Source organism: Homo sapiens, chromosome 5 (assembly GCF_000001405.40).
Source record: "Homo sapiens chromosome 5, GRCh38.p14 Primary Assembly".
Lineage (NCBI taxonomy): Eukaryota > Metazoa > Chordata > Mammalia > Primates > Hominidae > Homo > Homo sapiens.
Genome location: NC_000005.10, coordinates 33,161,593 through 33,172,301, shown reverse-complemented (window position 1 = coordinate 33,172,301; position 10,709 = coordinate 33,161,593). Strand labels below are relative to the sequence as shown.

General features: G+C 38.0%; 1 pseudogene; it reads right to left on the bottom strand.

Annotated features, from left to right (window-relative positions):
• Positions 9,441-10,164, bottom strand: RPS8P8 (ribosomal protein S8 pseudogene 8; annotated as a pseudogene).

Sequence of the window (10,709 nt, the reverse complement as noted above, 5' to 3'; positions counted from 1 at the left end):
AGGAATCGCCACACCGACTTCCACAATGGTTGAACTAGTTTACTGTCCCACCAACAGTGTAAAAGTGTTCCTATTTCTCCACATCCTCTCCAGCACCTGTTGTTTCCTGACTTTTTAATGATTGCCATTCTAACTCGTGTGAGAAGGTATCTCATTGTGGTTTTGATTTGCATTTCTCTGATGGCCAGTGATGATGAGCATTTTTTCACCTGTTTTTTGGCTGCATAAATGTCTTCTTTTGAGAAGTGTCTATTCATATCCTTTGCCCACTTTTTGATGGGGTTGTTTGTTTTTTTCTTGTAAATTTGTTTGAGTTCATTGTAGATTCTGGATATTAGCCCTTTGTCAGATGAGTAGATTGCAAAAATTTTCTCCCATTCTGTAGATTGCCTGTTCACTCTAATGGTGGTTTCTTTTGCTGTGCAGAAGCTCTTTAGTTTAATTAGATCTCATTTGTCAATTTTGGCTTTTGTTGCCATTGCTGTTGGTGTTTTAGACATGAAGTCCTTGCCAATGCCTATGTCCTGAATGGTATTGCCTAGGTTTTCTTCTCGGGTTTTTATGGTTTTAGGTCTAACATGTAAGTCTTTAATCCATCTTGAATTAATTTTTGTATAAGGTGTAAGGAAGGGATCCAGTTTCAGCTTTCTACATATGGCTAGCCAGTTTTCCCAGAACCATTTATTAAATAGGGAATCCTTTCCCCATTGCTTGTTTTTGTCAGGTTTGTCAAAGATCAGATAGTTGTAGATATGTGGCATTATATGACATGTTACAAGGCATTTTCCTCTCTAACCTTAATCTTCTGTCTATTCTTCCCATTTTTCTCTTTCACAATACTGAAAGCATTTCAGTAACCCCATTATAACAGACTCTCTTTTGCTTCCATTATTCCAATATATTCTTTTCCTTCTTCCCCAGCTGATGGGCATCTTTTAGACTCCTTCTTAGGATTCCCCTTCTATTGATGGCCTTCTGCAAGCTTCCTTAATCTGTGCCTGAGCTAATTACTTCTTCCTCTGTATTTTTTCTAATTATCAATTATGTCTTTTTTTAAATTTCACATAGTCACAGTATTGTGGCTGCACATGAGAGTAGGATAGTTGTTTCAGTTTGTTTCAGTAAGTATCCAAGTAGGTGACTGCACGCTCTTCTCAGGTGGAGGGCAATACTATTTGCTTAGAAAAGCAGTTGTCTGAAATTAGAGATCCAAACCTCACTTATATTAAAATAGCTGTAGTTCTGAGATGTGTAGTCTCTGAAAGGGGAACAATTGTAGAAATATTTATTTATACCCTATGATGTTTAGAAGTGTGATTTAAAGTGGCTATTGTGAATTATGGAAGTCAAGAAGGTACTAGTAAAAAAGTGGAATAGGATCTTTTGTTTGAGAATATTCAAGTAATAGAGACTTTTGGTTGCACTCCAATTCCATTTGTCTCTTCCTGAGTATGTGTAACTAGAGTCCTATAAGAAGATGATTAGGAAGGATCATAGAAAAATATTTGAAGAAATGTTGGAGGGCATTTAAAAATGTGATAGAAATTAAAAGCAAGCTCAACAAAATGCAAGTGGAAAAAATTGCAGGACATCATAAACTGCTCAAAGCCAGTGATGAAGAGAAAATCTTAAAAGTAAAAACAGGAAAAAAGACATATTATGTAATAAGGAACAGAAATGAGAGTGACAACAGATTTCACATGGGAAACAATGCATGTCAGAAAACAGTGGAGCGACATTTTTAAGGTACTGAAAGAACAAAAAACTGTAAAGCAAGAATTCTAGAGCCAACACAAATATCTATCAATAATGAAAAAGAAATGACTATTTCAGACATAAAAAGCTAAAATACAACAGACAAGATCTGCAAAACATATCAAAAGAAGTCCAGATAGAAGTAAAATGAGGGCAGATAGTAATCTAGCTATACAAAAGATAGAAGACCACTGGAAATGTTAAATATGAGGCTAAGTATAAAAACATTTGTCTTATTTTAAAAATGAATTTAAAAGATAATATACTATTTAAAACAATGATAATAACAATATAACTATATAACACATGTAGAAGTAATATGTATAGTGATAGTACGAAGTCCAGAATAGCATACTGCTGTAAAATTCCTTTCCTATGAAGATGTGGTGTAATATTAACTGAATGTTGACTATAATAATGTAAAGATCTATACTAAACCCTAAATCAACTACTAAAGGAACAAAAGAAAAAATATATATAGCCAATGCTGTAGATAACAAAGAATCATAAAAATATTCAGTTAATCCAAAATAAGGCAAAAGAGGGAAATAAAAAAGTATGGACAAATTGAAATCAAATAGCAAGATGGCAGCCTCTAAGCTAATACACAATAATCACATTAAATGTAAATGGTCTAATCAGCCCAATTTAAAAAGCAAATATTGCCAGATTGATAAAAAGTGATACCTAATTATATGCTGTCTGTGAGAAACTAACTTTAAATATAAAGACATGTGTAGGTTAAAAGTAAAAGACTGGAGGGCAGTAATATTATGCCTACATTAATCTAAGAAAGCTAGAGTGGCTATAGTAATACCAGGCAAAGTAAATGCCATGTGCTATTTCTAGAGCTAAAGAAGGTCATTTCATAATGATAAGTCAATTCATAAAGAGTACATAACAGAGCTAAATATGTATGCAACTAATAACAGATACTTTAAAAATATGAAGCAAATATTGATAGAACTGAAAAAATATATGCAGCCACAATATTAATCAGAGATTACAACACCCTTGTCTCAATAATTGGTAGAACAAGGAGAAATAAGAAAATAGAAGACTTGAAACAACACTACGCCCATCTTGACTTCACTGACATTTATAGAAGTCTCCACTCAACAATATGGGCAAACGTTATTTTCAAGTGCACACAGAACATTTACTGAAATAGACCATATTCTTCACTACCTAAAAATGTCTCAAAGTATTCAAAAGGGTTTAAATTATATAAAGTGTGGAATCTGACTGCAAGGGAATCACATTAGAAATCAGTAACAGAAAAGTATTTGGAAAATGTTCAACGATTTGAAAACTAAGCAGGATCTTTTTTAAATAACACATTGGTCAAAGCAGAGTTTATAAGGAAAATTTAAAAATACTGTGATTTGGCCGGGCGCGGTGGCTCACGCCTGTAATCCCAGCACTTTGGGAGGCCGAGGCGGGCGGATCACGAGGTCAGGAGATCGAGACCATCCTGGCTAACACAGTGAAACCCCGTCTCTACTAAAAAACACAAAAAATTAGCCGGGCGTGGTGGCGGGCGCCTGTAGTCCCAGCTACGCGGGAGGCTGAGGCAGGAGAATGGCGTGAACCGGGAAGGCGGAGCTTGCAGTGAGCCGAGATCGCGCCACTGCACTCCAGCCTGGGCGACAGAGAGAGACTCTGTCTCAAAAAAAAAAAAATATTGTGATTTGACTGAAAACTAACGCAAGGCATATCATAATTTGTGTGATACTGCTAAATTGGTGCTTTGAGGAAAATTTATTACATTAAACACGTATTAGAAAAGAGAAAATTTTCATTTCAATGCCCTAAGCTTCTACCTTAAGAAACCAACAAATAAGAGTTAGTTATACCCTGCAAAGAAGTAATGGGAAAAAAATCCTAAGTGCAGAAATAAATGAAATAGAATTTAGGAAAATAGAGAAAATTTGTAGCCTGAAACCAAAGTTTGATTAGAGAAAATCAATGAAGTTGTCAAATCTCTAGCTATATTGATCAAATAAATAAAGAAAAAGGCACAAATTACCAATATCAGGAAAGAGAGGGTCATATCTATAAATCTTAGAGACTTTAAAAGAATATGGGAGTATTAAAACAAATTTATGAATACGCTTGATAATTAGATGAAATGGGAAATTTCCTTGAAAGACAAAAATTGCCAAAGTCCCTCAAGAGAATAGATAACATGGATAGCCCTATGTTTTTTAAAGACACTGAATTTATATTTACATATATTACACAGACACAGACACACAAACACATGCACAAATAAATAAATTCCAAGCTCAGAAAATTTCACTGGTGAATTCTACATTAAAGAAGCAAACAATAGCAATTTTACACAAATGTCTCAAGAAAACCAAAGAGAGAATATTTCTCAACTCATTCCATGAGTTCAACCCTTCCCTAATACCAAAACTAGACAAAGGTATTACAATAAAAGACAACTGCAGACCAATATCTCTCATTAACACAGATTTAAAAATTAAAAATTTTAGCAAATGGAATATAACAATATGTTGAAAAGTTAATGCATCATAATCAAGAAAGGGTTATCCCAAGAAAGAAGGCACAGTTGGTTTAGTATTTGAAAATTAATCAATGTAATTTACCATATTAACATTTTAAAAATAAAAATTGTATGATCATCAGAATAGATGTAGAAAATGCATTTGACAAAGTCCAAATTCATTCCTGATAGAACTCTCAGCAGTCCAGAAATAGAACATTTCTCAACCTAATAAAGGACATATATGTGCTCCCACTCAGACAGACAGCACAGCATGTGGAAACTCACATCGGGAACTTTTGCTCCTAATACTACCACAGGAACATACCAGGAAACCCAAAAGAATTCACAGACTGTTTGAAAGAAGTGGCTTGTCACTGCAAACTTCATGAGGCAGCCAAAAAACTATGAGTTCCCAAAGTGTGAGAGGGGGAAAGTCTACCTTCAAACACATATCCTCACTGGGGAACCTGAAAATCCAGATCATGGGAGAAGGATATAACCTTACCTAGAGCTGAAATGGATTTAGAGAGCCAAGCGAAACACAAAAGTAGAAGAAACTGCAAGAAGAGCCCTGTAGGCACTCCTGGTACCTAGGGAAGCCATTTCTGACTTTATCTCAAGGTGTCCTTGGGGAGGGCTGCCAGTGGGATTGGGGAAAGACCGCAAGGAAAAGGAAACTTCCAGTGAACTTTGTAATAATTTTGACTGAATGTAAATTTTCTAGGGCAATATCCAGGAGTGGAGGGGCAGTGAATGGGAAGTGCAGCACAGAAGCTTTGGCAGGTGGGGAGGCCAAACCCTGAAAGCCCTGCTTGCTTTCTCTCAGTGAGGAGGCTTGTCGCCTGAGGCAAGATATCAGCCCTGCTCACCAGCTGCCTGGCTGTAAGCTCAGTACTTTTGGTGGGGCACACTGGGAGTGAGACTGGCCTTGCTGACTGTGTGGGAATTAGGTGAGGCCTGTCGCTGTTTGCTTTCCCCCAGTTCCCTGGTGACCTGTATATGCAGCAGAGGCAGCCATAATTCCCCTGGGAACATAACTCCATTGGCCTGAGAACCACACCCCTATCTCCCACAGCAGCCATAGCAAACCCCTCCCAAGGGGAGTCTGAGCTTAGATATGCCTAAGCCTGCCCCCACCTAATGGTCTTTCTGTACCTGCCCTCGTAGCCAAAGACAAAAGACATAATCTCTTGGGAGCTCTATGACCCCTGCCAATTGCCTAAGAAACCCAAATACTTATCCAAGTGACCTTAGGACAAGCTTGTATCCCCCCTATACTACTGCAGCTGAAGCTGTCTTGAAAGCGCCACCTCCTGGCTGGTGGCCAACCAACTCAAGCCATTACAGCAACTCATAAAAGAAAAACCGTGCTCCAAGAAAGGAGAAAACAACAGCTATTTCCACTGCCTGCCACATCCTGGCTAACCAGAGGTCCTGAGTCTGACCACATGACAACTTCGCTGCTAGCACAACCAGCATTTGAGAAAACTGGTGCACTAAACAAAACTACAGCCAAGGACCCTCACAGAGTCCACATGGTTCCCCTGCTACCTCCACTGGAGCAGGTGCTGGTAACCATGATTGAGAGACCTGAAGATGGATCACATCACAGGACTCTTTGCAGACACTTCCCAGTACCAGTCCAGAGCCTGGTAGCTCTGCTGGGTGGCTAAACCTAGAAGGGCAATGACAATCACTGCAATCCAGCTCCCAGGAAGCCCCATCCCTAGGGAAAGGGGGAGAGCACATCAAGAGAGTACCCATGGGACAGCAGCGCTTGAGCCCCAGATCTTTCCTTTGAAATAGCCAAATGCGAAGGAACCAGAAAAATAATTCTGGTAATATGACAAAACAGGGTTCTTTAACACCCCCAAAAGATCACACTAGCTCACCCGCAATGGATACAAACCCAGAAGAAATCTCTGAATTGCCAGAAAAAAAGAATTCAGAAGCCCAGTTATTAAGCTACTCAAGGAGGCATAAGAGAAAGATGAAAACCAACTTAAGGAAATTTTGAAAAATGCAGGATATGGACAAAAAAGTCTCCAGAGAAATAGACAGCATAAATAAAAAACAAGGACAACTTTGGGAAATGACACACATCGAGAAATACAAAATACACTGGAAACTTTCAACAATAGAATCGAACAAGTAGAAGACAGAACTTCAGAGCTCAAAAACAAGGCTTTTGAATTAATCCAATCCAACAAAGACAAAGAAAAAAGAATTTTAAAAAATGAACAAAACCTCCAGGAAGTTTGGGAACTATGTTAAACAACCAAACCTAAGGATAATTGGTGTTCCCAAGGAAGATGGGAAACCTAAACATTTGGAAAACGTATTTGAGGGAATAATTGAGAAAAACTTCCCTGGCCTTGTTAGAGGTCTAGACACCCAAATATAAGAAGCTCAAAGAGCAACAGGGAAATTCATTGTGAAAAAATCATCACCTGCACACATAGTCATCAGGTTACCTAAAGTCAAGACAAAGGAAAGAATCTTAAGAGCTGTGAGACAAAAGCATCAGGTAACCTGTAAAGGAAAGCCTATCAGATTAACAGCAGATTTCTCAGCAGAAACCTTACAAGCTAGAAGGGATTGGGATCCTATCGGCCAGGAATTTTGTATCCAGAGAAACTAAGCTTTATAAATGAAGGAAAGATGAGGTATTTTCCAGACAAACAAATACTGAGAGAATTTGTCACTATCAAGCCAGCACTATAAGAACTGCTAAAAGGAGCTCTAAATCTTGAAACAAAACCTTGAAATACACCAAAATAGAACCTCCTTAAAGCATACATCTCACAGGACCCATGAAACAGTAACATAATGAAAAAAAAAAAAACCAAGGTATTCAGGCAACAACTAGCATGATGAATAGAATAGTACCCCACGATCTCAATACTGATGTTGAATGTAAATGGCCTGAGTGCTCCACTTAAAAGATACATAATGGAAGAATGGATAAAAATTCACCAACCAAGTATCTGCTGTCTTCAAGAGACTCACCTAACACATAAGAACTCACATAAACTTAAGATAAAGGGATGGAAAAAGATATTTCATGCAAATGGACACCAAAAGTGAGCAGGAGTAGCTATTCTTATATCAGACAAAACAGACTTTTTAACAACCATTAAAAAAGACAAAGAGGGACATTGTATAATGGTAAGAGGACTAGTCCAACAGGAAAATATTACAATTCAAAATATATATGGACCTAACACTGGAGCTCCCAAATTTATAAAACAATTGCTACTATACCTAAGAAATGAGATAGTTGCCAACATGATAATAGTGGGGGACTTCAGTACTCCACTGACAGCCCTAGACAGGCCATCAAGACAGAAAGTCAACAAAGGAACAATGGACTTAAACTATGCCCTAGAACAAATAGACTTAACAGATATTTACAGACCATTCTACCCAACAACTGCAGAATATACATTCTTTTCATGAGCATGGGGAACATTCTCCAAGATAGACCACATGATAGACCACAACCAGTCTCAATAAACTTAAGAAAATAAGAATTATAACAAGTACTCTCCCAGGCCACAGTTCAATCACTGGAAAACCTAGAGGAGATGGATAAATTCCTGGAAACGTACAACCCTCCTAGATTGAACCAGGAAGAAAGGTCTTACCTTAAGGTAATAAAAGCCATCAGTGACAAACCCACAGCCAACATTATACCAACTGAGGAGAAGTTGAAAGCATTCCCACTGAGAACTGGAAGAAAACAAGGATGCCCACTTTCAGCACTTCTAGTCAACATAATAAATGAATTCGGTAAAGTTTGAGGATACAAAATCAATGTACGCAAATCAGTAGCACTGCTATACACCAGCAGCAGCCAAGCTGAGAACCAAGTCAAGAACTCAACCCTTTTTACAATAGCTGCAAAAAAAATAAAATTCTTAGGAACATATCTAACCAAGGAGATGAATGACCTCTACAGGGATAAGTACAAACACTGCTGAAAGAAATCATAGACAACACAAACAAATGGAAATGCATCCAATGCTCATGGATGGGTACAATCAGTACTGTGAAAATGACCATACTACCAAAAGCAGTCTGCAAATTCAATGCCATTCCCATCGAAATACCATCATCATTCTTCACAGAACTAGAAAAAACAATTCTAAAATTCATATGGAACCAAAAAAGAGCCTGCATAGCCAAAGCAAGACTAAGCAAAAAGAACAAATCTGGAAGTATAACATTACCCAACTTCAAACTATACTATAAGGGTATATTCACTGAAACAGCATGGTACTTATATAAAAATGGGCACACAGACCAGTGGCACAGAATAGAGAACCCAGAAATAGAGCCAAACACTTAGAGCCAACCAATCATCTACAAAACAAACAAAAACATAAAGTAGGATTTTGGGATTTCTCTATACCTTCAATTTATCTGTAAATCTAAACTTATTGAAAATAAAAGCATAGTAATAAAATTTAATTTGTTACTTATGAAGTAGAGAAGTATTAGAATTATTTATACAGACATACAGATCAATAGAACAGAATTCAAATTCAAGAAATAGGTTGACATATATGGTTAACTGATTTTCAACAAAGTTGTCAAGGCATTCAATGGACCTTTTCAACAAATGGTGCTAGGTCAATTGATTGGATATAAGCAATAACATAAAATATATAAAGAAAGTCTTCACACCATTTACAAAATTAACTCAAAATGGATCACAGACCTAAGTGTAAAAGCTGAAACTATAAAACCTCTAAAAGAAAATATGGCAGAAAAATTTAAAAATCATGAATTAGGCAAAGATTTATTAAGTAAAACACAAGAAGCATAAACTAGAAAAGAAAAAAATTAATGTTACCTTTTATCAAATTTAATAATTTTGGTTCTTCAAAACATTGTTACAAAATTAAAAGCCAATCTAAATATTGGAGAAAATATTTGCAAAATATTTACAGATGCTCCTTCACTTACAGTTGAGTTACATCTTGATAAACCCGTCATAAGTCAAGAATATTATAAGTCAAAAGTGCATTTAATACCTTGGCAAACCCACTGTAACATGAAAAAATCATAAGTCAAGCCATTATAAGGCTAGATGCTCCTTGACTTATGATAGGTTTATATCTTGATAAACCAATCATCAACTCAAAAAAATCTTTTTTTTGGGGGGGGGGGAACAAAACAATAAACACCTTTATTACATGGGTGAAGACAAAACAAGGATTTATTTGCCTTTCCGGGCCTTGATTTTCCTAAGATAGAACTCCAACCCTTTGCCCTCTAGCACATAGCCATCTGCTCGGCCACACTGTCCCGGCCTTGAAGCGATGCATGCAAGAAGCTTGCCCTGCTGGAACTGCTCTTCCAGGAGACTGCTGATTTTGGCATTCTTTTTCCTTTCATCATATTTCTTCTGAATTTGTTTAAATCGTTTTTTGTTTAAAATCTCTTCTTCCTCAGGAGTCAGCTTGGCTCCCTTCTTGCGGCCCAGGGGCAGCACGTAGTGGGACATCTTACCACTGTCGGCACGGTGTGCTGTCGATGAGCACGATGCAATTCTTCACCAGGGTCTTGGTACGAACCAGCTCATTATTAGATGCATTGTAGACAACATCGATGATCCTTGTTTTACGAGTACAACACTCTGAGCCCCAGGAGAAATTCCCCCACGTCCAACCTCAGGGCACGGTATTTCTTGTTACTTCCCTGCACACGGACTGTGTGGATGCGGCGGGGGCCAATCTTGGTGTTGGCAGCTGGGCGCTCCAACTCATACTTCCGCTTCTTGTGGTAGGGCTTTCTCTTGCCCCCGGTTTTGCGGCGCTGGTGCCAGTTGTCCCGAGAGATGCCCATCGCTCGGCGCTGGCTGGAAAGAGAAACCGCCCAAAAAAATCTTAAGCCAAAATCTTAAATTGGAGACTGTATTCAATAAAGGAATTGTATCTAGAATACACAAGAAATTCTTACAACTTAACAATTAGAAGACCTCAAAATAATCAAGGCTGGGTGTGGTAGCTCTCGCCTATAATCCCAGCACTTTTGGAGGCTGAGACAGGCAGATCGCTTGAGTTCTGCAGTTTGAGACCAGCCTGGGCAACATGGTGAAACCTCATCTTTACAAAACATACAAAAAATTAGCCGGGTGTGGTGGTGCATGCCTGTAGTCCTAGCTATTTCAGAGTCTGAGGCAGGAAGGTTACCTGAACCTGGGAGGTGGAGGTTTCAGTGAGCCAAGATTGAGCCACTGCATCCCAGCCTGGGAGACAGGGCGAGACCTTGTCTCAAAAAAAAAAATAAAAAATCACTGAAAATTGAGCAAAAGATTTGAAAAGACACTTTAACAAGAAGACACGCATATAGAAAGTAAGCATAAGAACAGATGTTGAACATTATTGGTCGTTAGGGACATGTAAAACAAAACCACAATGACATACCACTA